Source organism: Homo sapiens, chromosome 12 (assembly GCF_000001405.40).
Source record: "Homo sapiens chromosome 12, GRCh38.p14 Primary Assembly".
In the NCBI taxonomy this organism is placed as follows: Eukaryota; Metazoa; Chordata; class Mammalia; order Primates; family Hominidae; genus Homo; species Homo sapiens.
The window spans coordinates 55,996,740-56,006,791 of NC_000012.12; the positions used below are offsets into that span (position 1 = coordinate 55,996,740).

The following is a 10,052-nucleotide window of genomic DNA, read 5'->3' on the forward strand; positions in this document are numbered from 1 at the left end:
ATTCTTGGAACCACTATTTTAGGCATTTCTGTTATCATTCCTGGAATACGAGAACTAAGCGATTGACTTTGCTTTCCCTAAAAGATAAACAGGGTAGTTGTAGTTGCAACAGAGTAGATAGAGGTAGGTCTACCCTGGGTTTAAAGTGGAGATCACAGCCGGGGAAAACCGGACTGGATCCCGAGGCCTCCTCCAGGGAGGGGCGGCAGGGGTGTCTCAAAATCTCCCACCTGTCAGCCCAACTTTTGGATTCCTTGTCACCTTCCACACTGCCCGAGCTCCGGACATACAGCCCTGGTGCACAAGGGTCCCATTCTTTGCACACCAGGGGTATAATGGACTCCGGACTGTTGGCGAGAGTGACAGCAAAAAGAGCCAGCCTCTTCTCCCAGGCTTCTTAGCAACCTGCCTGTCTCGGCTCCAGGAGGCGGGTTCCAGCCAATGGTTGAGCCACCCGCTTCCAGCCAATGGCTGAGGGATAAGCTGAGGGGAGTGAGAGGTCACTTACTGCAGCCGGACATAACGGCGCTGGCCCCGCCCCTTCTCGAGAACTCGCAGAGCTGGGCTGGTAAAATTGCAGTGCTGAAGACACTGGACCCGGTAAGGAGACTGGGGGTGGTAAAGAAGCTGGGGAGGAAGGGCTGCTGAGCTGGGCAGCGGAGGGGGCCTTGGTGTCCAGCTGTGCTCCGAACCTCAAGGGCAACAAAACTATCAGTACCTGCCTCCACTCCTTCTGTCTGGGTGCTCTTGAGATCGCGGGGTGTTGCCGCAAGACCCTTTTGTGCCTGGATGCCGGACGTATGTTCCTACCTAACGTGCCCATGGGGAGTGAGGGGTCATCACCTGCACCAACGGGTGGCATTTCTGTATTACAGCAAAAGGCTGTCCCTCCCAAACCTGGGATTCTGGGCTCACTGAGTTCACCTGCGAGTCAGCCCTACCTGCACTGCTCTGGTCTAGTACAAACAGGCTGCTGGCATTGAGGTAGGTGGCAGAGAGAGTAATGGTCCCATGGCCCAGGGGCAAGGTGAAGACTGCTCCTATTCCCATCTCTAGGTTTCCTTTCCTCCCTACCCACGACCCACCCACCCCAGCACATTGGTCTCCAGCATCTCATCAGCAGTTTAGACATTTGTCACCCCTCCTCACTTTGGCCCTGCTGGGTCAGTGCTCTCTGTTCAGCAATTTGAGGAAGAAACTTGCAGGGCAGAGAGCAGAAAAATTACCTTCCTTCTCCAGCCTGCCCCTGACACTCTGGCCATTAACTCCTCAATTTGCTGAGCTCACTACAGTGGCACAGAGAAGATTGAGGTGGTCCGGGACCCTAGGTTGGGGTCCAGTTCCCAGCTGGGTTCAATTTTTTTTAGGGTGAATGGAGGGAGAGTTGGGGACTGAAAAGCCTTCAAAGACAATGTTATTACAGCAGTCTCCCCTTATCCAAAGTTTCCTTTTCCTGAGTTTCAGTTAGCTATGGTCAACCGCTTGGAAAATAGTTGAACACAGTACAATAAGATATTTTGAGGCTGGGAGTGGTGGCTCATGCCTGTAATAATCCCAGGACTTTGTGAGACCAAGTTTGAAGGATCACTTGAACCCAGGAGTTTGAGACCAGCCTGGGCAACATAGTAAGACCTCATCTCTACAAAAAAAAAAAAAAAAAGACCATGCATGGTGGCACACGCCTGTGGTCCCCGCTACTCAGGAGGTTGAGGCAGGAGGATGGCTTGAGCCCAGAAGTTTGATGCTATAGTGAGCTGAGATCACGCCACTGCACTCCAGCCTGGGCAGAGCAAGACCCTGTCAGGGGCAGGGGGAGGGGAGGGGAAGCCGGACAGTGGCTCATGCCTGTAATCCCAGCACTTTGGGGGCTAAGGCAGCAAGAGGCCAGGAGTTCAAGACCAGCCCTGACAACATAGACTCCCATGTCTACAGAAAAATTAGCCAGGCTTGGTGACACACACTTGTAGTCCCAGCTGCTGGGGAGGCTAAGGCAGGAGGATGGCTTGAGCCCAAGAGGTTGAAGCTTCAGTGAGCCATGATCGACACTTGCTCCATCGCCCAGGCTTTTTTTTTTTTTGAGACAAGGTCTTGCCCTGTTGCCCAGGCTGGAGTACGGTGGCGCCATCATAATTCATTGCAGTCTCGACCTCCTGGACTCAAGCCATCCTCTCATCTCAGCACTCCTCTCCCCACCACCCCGGTAGCTGAGACTACAGACAGGCACCACCATGCCCAGTTAATTTGTTTTTTTTTTTCTAGAGACACAGTCTCACTATGTTGCCCAAGCTGGTCTTGAACTCCTGGAGTCAAGTGATCCTCCTTCCTTGGCCTCCCAAAATTTTGGGATTATAGGCATGAGCCACCATGACTGGCCAAAAAAAAGTATATTTTGAGAGAGAGACCACATTCATATAACTTTTTTTTGTTTTTGTTTTGAGACAGGGTCTCGCTCTCTGTTGCCCAAGCTGAAGTGCAGTGGCACAGTCAGCTCACTCTGTAACCTCAAACTCCTGGGCTTAGATCTTCTCAGCCTCCAGAGTAGATGGGACCACAGGTGCGCTCCACCATGCCCAACTAACTTTTTATTTTGTAGGGACGGAGTCTCCAACTCCTGGCCTCTAGCAGTCCTCCTGTGTAGGTCTCCCAAAGTGCTAGTGTGTCCGGAATTGGTGGGTTCTTGGTCTCACTGACTTCAAGAATGAAGCCGCGGACCCTCGCAGTGAGTGTTACAGTTCTTAAAGGCAGCGTGTCCGGAGTTTGTTCCTTCTGATGTTCAGATGTGTTTGGAGTTTCTTCCTTCTGGTGGGTTCGTGCTCTTGCTGGCTCAGGAGTGAAGCTGCAGACCTTCACAGTGAATGTTACAGCTCATAAAGGCAGTGTGGACCCGAAGAGTGAGCAGCAGCAAGATTCATTGTAAAGAGGGAAAGAACAAAGCTTCCACCGTGTGGAAAGGGACCCAAGCGGGTTGCCACTGCTGGCTTGGGCAGCCTGCTTTTGTTCTCTTATCTGGTGCCACCCACATCCTGCTGATTGGTAGAGCCGAGTGGTCTGTTTTGACAGGGTGCTGATTGGTGCGTTTACAATCCCTGAGCTAGACACAAAGGTTCTCCACATCCCCACCAGATTAGCTAGATACAGAGTGTTGATTGGTGTATTCACAATCCCTGAGCTAGACATAAAGGTTCTCCAAGGCCCCACCAGAGTAGCTAGATACAGAGTGTTGATTGGTGCATTCACAAACCCTGAGCTAGACACAGGGTGCTGATAGGTGTATTTACAATCCCTGAGCTAGACATGAAGGTTCTCCACCTCCCCACCAGACTCAGGAGCCCAGCTGGCTTCACCCAGTGGATCCCGCACTGGTGCTGCAGGTGGAGCTGCCTGCCAGTCTCGGTGCCATGCGCCCGCACTCCTCAGCCCTTGGGTGGTTGATGGGACTGGGTGCCGTGGAGCAGGGGTCGGTGCTCCTCGGGGAGGCTTAGGCCCCACAGGAGCCCACGGCGAAGGGGGGCTCAGGCATGGCGGGCTGCAGGTCCCGAGCCCTGCCCCGCGGGGAGGCAGCTAAGGCCCGGCGAGAAATCGAGCGCAGCGCTGGTGGGCCGGCACTGCTGGGGGACCCAGTACACCCTCCGCAGCTGCTGGCCCAGGTGGTAAGCCCCTCATTGCCCGGGGCCGGCAGGGCCAGCCGGCTGCTCCGTGTGCGGGGCCTGCCAAGCCCACGCCCACCCGGAACTCCAGCTGGCCCGCAAGCTCCGCGCTCAGCCCCGGTTCCCGCTCGCACCTCTCCCTCCACACCTCCCTGCAAGCTGAGGGAGCCGACTCTGGCCTTGGCCAGCCCAGAAAGGGGCTCCCACAGTGCAGCGGCGAGCTGAAGGGCTCCTCAAGTGCCGCCAAAGTGGGAGCCCAGGCAGAGGAGGCACCGAGAGTGAGCAAGGGCTGTGAGGACTGCCAGCACAATGTCACTTCTCACTAGGATTATAAGGGTGAGCCACCACACCCAGCTCTTTTATTACAGTATAATGTTATAATTTTTTTCTTTTTCTTTGTTTTTTTTTTGAGACGTTTGAGACGGAGTCTCACTCTGTCGCCCAGGCTGGAGTGCAGTGGCGCGATCTCGGCTCACTGCAACCTCCGCCTCCTGGGTTCACGCCATTCTCCTGTCTCCGGAGTAGCAGGGACTACAGGCGCCCGCCGCCAAGCCCGGCTAATTTTTTTTTTTCTATTTTTAGTAGAGATGAGGTTTCGCCGCGTTAGCCAGGATGGTTTCGATCTCCTGACATCGTGATCTGCCCGTCTCAGCCTCCCAAAGTGCTGGGATTACAGGCGTAAGCCACTGCGCCGGGCTAATTTTTCTATTTTGTTATTGTTGTTAATCTCTCTTTTTTTTTTTTTTTTTTTTTTTTGAGATGGAGTCTCTCTCTGTTGCCCAGACTGGAGAGCAGTGGCGTGATCTCAGCTCACTGCAACCTCCACCTCCCAGGTTCAGGTGATTCTCCTGCCTCAGCCTCCCGAGTAGCTGGGGTTACAGGCACGTGTCACCATGCCTGGCTTATTTTTGAATTTTTGTAGAGACAGGTTTTCCCCATTTTGGCCAGGCTGGTCTCAAACTCCTGACCTCAGGTGATTTGCCCGCCTCAGCCTCCCAAAGTGCTGGGATTACAGACGTGAGCCACTGCGCCGGGCATTGTTGTTAATCTCTTACTGTGGGTAATTTAGTAATTAAACTATAAGAGGTATGTATGTATGGGGGAAAAAACAGTAATATAGGGTTTGGTGCAATCTGTGGTTTCAAACATCTACTGGGGGTCGTAGAACATATCCCCAGTGGATAAGGGGGTACTACTGTACTTGTTGGCTCTTCATGTTAGCTCTGCTAGGCAGATGTCATTTCAGAGATGAGGAAGCAAGTTCAGAACGGCTTGGAATCTTGCTCAGGAAATCGGGCTGGTTAATGAATAACAAGAGATCCAGTTTCACAAACCCAAGGCATTTTGCCCCCAGAATCTGGGCTTCTTCACCCATTTAGGCTGTCACTACTTTTTTTTCACTTTTTTATCCCTGTTTAAGTCAGTCTGACCCACAGTTGTCCTCTGCTGACTTCAGAAATAATAATCTGGCCAGTAGACATTTGGTTTCGGTCCTTTAGGCCCTTCGCCCCAGGCATCGTTCTCTATGGTGGACAAAGTTCAGAATGGAAGATGGGAGAAAGGTGATTCTGATTCTAGAAGCACCCATCCCTCCTACCCCATTCCCCACCCGCATTACCTGCCATCCTGTCAGCACAGTCTGTCTCTGAAGTGCTCCAAGTTTTCTCTAAGGGCCCATTTGGACTCCCACTCTCAAGACTCCTCACTTGCCCAGAAAGCTCCTTGCTGACCTTCTCTGTGTCTTCCTCTCACCCATTCCCTTAGGCCTCCCTAATATCCCCTCCCAGGGTCTCCCTATCTTGATCCCAGAATCTTCCTTCTACAGGTCTGCTACAATGCTGCTGCTGCACAGAGCTGTGGTCCTCAGGCTCCAACAGGCCTGCAGGTAGGCCAGCCCATCCCAGGACTTGCCTCCTAGCCCCTATCTGCCACCCTTAGTGTCTTTTACAATGTCATACCTTGCAAATAAGACAGTTGAGAGAGTGTGTCCAGGGAGGACAGAGAAAGCCAGATCCCACTTTTCCCACCTATCCCTGGAGAAACTAAGTTCCAACTTAAGGAACCAATGGCCAACCAGGGAGAAAGAAGTAGACCCCAAGCCTTCACTAGCCCTTTCACATGACCATACGTGCTACTAAGACCGACCTCTCTTCCAGACTCAAGTCAATCCCCTCAAGGATCTGCATTCAGGCCTGCTCCACAAATGATTCATTTCAGCCCCAGCGCCCCAGCCTCACCTTCTCTGGTGATAACTCCAGCACCCAGGGATGGAGAGTCATGGGGACCCTATTAGGTCTCGGTGCAGTGTTGGCCTATCAGGACCATCGGTGTAGGGTAAGTAGGGAAAGTGCTTCATTGTCAGAACAGACTGGGTGCAGTGGCTCACGCCTGTTATCCCAGCACTATAGGAGGCCAAGGTGGGTGGGTCACTTGAGGTTAGGAGTTTGAGACCAGCCTGGGCAACATGGCAAAACCCCATCTCTAGTAAAAATTAGCCAGGTGTGGTGGTACATACCTGTAATCTCAGCTACTTGAGAGGCTGAGACACAAGAATCACTTAAACCCAGGAGGCTAAGTCTGCAGTGAGCCAAGATCAAGATCAGGCCACTGCTCTCCAGCCTGGGTGACAGAGTGAGACTCCATCTCAAAAAAAAAAAAAAAATTGTCAGAATAAAGGAATCAGTCCTAGTAAACTCCACAGGCAACCCAGGCTGTGACCCATGTTCTTGTAGTTACCACAGAGTTCACAGTGACGCAGTCTTCATGCACAGTGGAGATGAAATCTGCTAATCTGCTACCTTCGCTTCCCAGTGGCCAACACCGTGGGTTGGGTCAGGGTGAGCTCAAGTGATTTCTTCTTATTCTTCTTCATTTTTTCTTTTTTTTTTTTTTGAGATGGAGTTTCACTCTTGTTGCCCAGGCTGGAGTGCAATGGCATGATCTCAGCTCACCACAACCTCCACCTCCCGGGTTCAAGTGATTCTCCTGCCTCAGCCTCCCAAGTAGCTGGGATTACAGGCATGCACCACCATGCCCAGCTAATTTTGTATTTTTAGTAGAGACAGGGCTTCTCCATGTTGGTCAAGCTGGTCTTGAACTCCCGACCTTATGTGATCCGCCCACCTCGGCCTCCCAAAGTGCTGGGATTACAGTTGTGAGTCACCACGCCCGACCAAGTGATTTCTTCTTAATAGTCTCTTCCCTTTTATCTTACTCCTTCCCTGCCAATAGGCTGCTCAGGAGTCAACACACATATACACTAAGGAGGAAGTGAGTTCCCACACCAGCCCTGAGACTGGGATCTGGGTGACTCTGGGCTCTGAGGTCTTTGATGTCACAGAATTTGTGGACCTACATCCAGGGGGGCCTTCAAAGCTGATGCTAGCAGCTGGGGGTCCCCTAGAGCCCTTCTGGGCCCTCTATGCTGTTCACAACCAGTCCCATGTGCGTGAGTTACTGGCTCAGTACAAGATTGGGGAGCTGAATCCTGAAGACAAGGTAGCCCCCACCGTGGAGACCTCTGACCCTTATGCTGATGATCCTGTACGTCACCCAGCCCTGAAGGTCAACAGCCAGCGGCCCTTTAATGCAGAGCCTCCCCCTGAGCTGCTGACAGAAAACTACATCACACCCAACCCTATCTTCTTCACCCGGAACCATCTGCCTGTACCTAACCTGGATCCAGACACCTATCGCTTACACGTAGTAGGAGCACCTGGGGGTCAGTCACTGTCTCTTTCCCTGGATGACTTGCACAACTTTCCCAGGTACGAGATCACAGTCACTCTGCAGTGTGCCGGCAACCGACGCTCTGAGATGACTCAGGTCAAAGAAGTAAAAGGTCTGGAGTGGAGAACAGGAGCCATCAGCACTGCACGCTGGGCTGGGGCACGGCTCTGTGATGTGTTAGCCCAGGCTGGCCACCAACTCTGTGAAACTGAGGCCCACGTCTGCTTTGAGGGACTGGACTCAGACCCTACTGGGACTGCCTATGGAGCATCCATCCCTCTGGCTCGGGCCATGGACCCTGAAGCTGAGGTCCTGCTGGCATATGAGATGAATGGGCAGCCTCTGCCACGTGACCACGGCTTCCCTGTGCGTGTGGTGGTTCCTGGAGTGGTGGGTGCCCGCCATGTCAAATGGCTGGGCAGAGTGAGTGTGCAGCCAGAGGAAAGTTACAGCCACTGGCAACGGCGGGATTACAAAGGCTTCTCTCCATCTGTGGACTGGGAGACTGTAGATTTTGACTCTGCTCCATCCATTCAGGAACTTCCTGTCCAGTCGGCCATCACAGAGCCCCGGGATGGAGAGACTGTAGAATCAGGGGAGGTGACCATCAAGGGCTATGCATGGAGTGGTGGTGGCAGGGCTGTGATCCGGGTGGATGTGTCTCTGGATGGGGGCCTAACCTGGCAGGTGGCTAAGCTGGATGGAGAGGAACAGCGCCCCAGGAAGGCCTGGGCATGGCGTCTGTGGCAGTTGAAAGCCCCTGTGCCAGCTGGACAAAAGGAACTGAACATTGTTTGTAAGGCTGTGGATGATGGTTACAATGTGCAGCCAGACACCGTGGCCCCAATCTGGAACCTGCGAGGTGTTCTCAGCAATGCCTGGCATCGTGTCCATGTCTATGTCTCCCCATGAGCATGGAAAGGAGCCACCTCCACCCCTTTCCCCACCCATTAGCCTCACTGCTTCAGAAAAATCTTTCCCACCTTTCAACTTCTTGGATCACAACTCTGGCCTTCCTAAGCCATACCCAAGTACACATATAGCACATTTCACCCAAGGACCTTCCCTCTTTGGACACTATGTTACATACCCCTCTTGGCCTTTGAACCTGTGCCAGGAAGTGTGAGCTGTTACAGCAAGGGGCTAGAAGTGAAAAAAGTAATTCTGGAGACAAGCACTATTTTCTCTTCCTACCCCACCTCCATTTCTAATGCCTACTGCCATCAAGGCCTTGTTTTGCTTTTCTTTTTGGATTGTTCAGAGAAATGTGTGTGGCATGTGTAAGAAAAGTGTATATACTATCTTATACTACCTCTCCAGGTTGCCAGAGAGTTGCGAGGAGAGCAAGGGGCACAACCGTCTCCCTTTATAGTTCTACTTTTCTAATAAATAGTCTGTTTAAGATCATAACTCTTGGGCCTGGGGAGTGAGCCTATTGCAGGAGGAAGGATGCATTTGTACTGGGATGTATAATGAGATTAGACCAAAACAAACAAAACTGGGGAGGAAGACAGAGAGGAAGTAGGCTTGTAGGTTAAGAAGTAGGGCTTCCGGCTGAGCACAGTGGCTCACGCCTGTAATCCCAGCACTTGGGAGGCCAAGGCAGGTGGATCACTTGAGGTCAGGAGTTCGAGACCAGCCTGGCCAACATGGCAAAACCCAGTCTCTACCAAAAATACAAAAATTAGCTGGGTGTGGTGGTGGGTGCCTGTAATCCCAGCTACTTGGGAGGCTGAGGCAGGAGAATCGCTTGAACCAAGGAGGCAGAGGTTGCAGTGAGCCGAGATCACACCCACTACACCCCAGCCTGTGCGACAAAGCGAGATTCTGTCTCAAAAAAAGGGGGGCTTCCTTCTCTGAGGTTTGGCAGTATCTGCAGGGACACCTAGGTGATTGACCTCAGGATACCATGAAGAGAGGAGAGGTGACAAAAACATGTACCCTCCAACTCCTTTCCCCAACAGTTCCAATGCACTTGGCAGGAAAGGCAAAGGGTGCTAGGAGTTTAAAATCAATATTGTCTTAGGAGGTCGTGAAAGCAAAATAAATCTTGAGGCCCCAGAATCACTAAGCTAAAGGGAAAAGTCAAGCTGGGAACTGATTAGGGTAAACCTGCCTCCCATTCAAAGTCATCCCTCTGCTCACTGAGATAAATGCATACCTGATTGCCTTCTTTGAGTGGAATACAACCATTTGCCTCTTTTTTTTTTTTTTTTTTTGTAGAGACAGAGTCTTGCTCTGTCACCCAGACTGGAGTGCAGGAGTGCGGTGGCACGATCTCCGCTCACTGCAACCTCCGTCTCCGGAGTTCAAGCAATTCTGTCTCAGCCTCCCAGGTAGCTGGGACGACAGGCGCACACCGCCACGCCCGGCTAATTTCTTTTGTATTTTAGTAGAGATGGGTTTCACCATGTTGCCCAGGCTGGTCTCGAACTCCTGAGCTCAGGCAGTACGTCTGCCTCGGCCTCCCAAAGTGCTAGGATTACAGGCGTGAGCCACCAAGCCCGGCTTTTTTTTTTTTTTTTTTTTTTTTTTGAGATGAAGTCTCACTCTATTGCTCAGGCTGGAGTGCAGTGGTGCGATCTCGGCTCACTGCAACCTCCGCCTCCCGGGTTCAAGCGATTCTCCTGCCTCAGCCTCCCAAGTAGCTGGGACTACAGGCGCGGGCCACCACAC

At 52.3% G+C, this 10,052-nt stretch overlaps 1 protein-coding gene across 3 annotated transcripts, besides 5 other annotated features; it reads left to right on the forward strand.

Moving 5' to 3' along the window:
• Nucleotides 311–811: an enhancer, noted in NCBI's record as "H3K27ac hESC enhancer chr12:56390834-56391334 (GRCh37/hg19 assembly coordinates)". NCBI's record gives its function as "activates a minimal SCP1, AML or CMV promoter by ChIP-STARR-seq in primed H9 embryonic stem cells {active_cell/tissue: H9 hESC(primed)}" and the evidence as "EXISTENCE:reporter gene assay evidence [ECO:0000049][PMID:30033119]".
• Nucleotides 397–586: a silencer, noted in NCBI's record as "silent region_4540". NCBI's record gives its function as "represses an Ori minimal core promoter by ATAC-STARR-seq in GM12878 lymphoblastoid cells {active_cell/tissue: GM12878}" and the evidence as "EXISTENCE:reporter gene assay evidence [ECO:0000049][PMID:35858748]".
• SUOX (sulfite oxidase) lies at nucleotides 537–8,786 on the forward strand. Of its 3 annotated transcripts, NM_000456.3 has the most exons (6): nucleotides 537–600; nucleotides 876–984; nucleotides 2,594–2,719; nucleotides 5,473–5,532; nucleotides 5,804–5,981; nucleotides 6,879–8,786. In NM_000456.3, exons 4-6 carry the CDS (start codon nucleotides 5,483–5,485, stop codon nucleotides 8,286–8,288), a joined length of 1,638 nt encoding a protein of 545 aa, NP_000447.2. In that variant the 5' UTR covers nucleotides 537–600; nucleotides 876–984; nucleotides 2,594–2,719; nucleotides 5,473–5,482; the 3' UTR covers nucleotides 8,289–8,786. The 3 variants fall into 3 exon arrangements, with proteins under 3 accessions (NP_000447.2, NP_001027558.1, NP_001027559.1); NM_001032386.2 differs by lacking the exon at nucleotides 2,594–2,719; NM_001032387.2 differs by lacking the exons at nucleotides 876–984; nucleotides 2,594–2,719.
• Nucleotides 3,890–4,080: a silencer, noted in NCBI's record as "fragment chr12:56394413-56394603 (GRCh37/hg19 assembly coordinates)". NCBI's record gives its function as "represses an EF-1alpha promoter that drives an FKBP-Casp9 reporter gene in an ReSE screen in K562 erythroleukemia cells {active_cell/tissue: K562}" and the evidence as "EXISTENCE:reporter gene assay evidence [ECO:0000049][PMID:32094911]".
• Nucleotides 4,786–5,080: a silencer, noted in NCBI's record as "tiled region #2650; K562 Repressive non-DNase unmatched - State 16:ElonW". NCBI's record gives its function as "represses a minimal TATA promoter and a strong SV40 promoter by Sharpr-MPRA in K562 cells {active_cell/tissue: K562}" and the evidence as "EXISTENCE:reporter gene assay evidence [ECO:0000049][PMID:27701403]".
• Nucleotides 9,396–10,017: an enhancer, noted in NCBI's record as "H3K27ac-H3K4me1 hESC enhancer chr12:56399919-56400540 (GRCh37/hg19 assembly coordinates)". NCBI's record gives its function as "activates a minimal SCP1, AML or CMV promoter by ChIP-STARR-seq in naive H9 embryonic stem cells {active_cell/tissue: H9 hESC(naive)}" and the evidence as "EXISTENCE:reporter gene assay evidence [ECO:0000049][PMID:30033119]".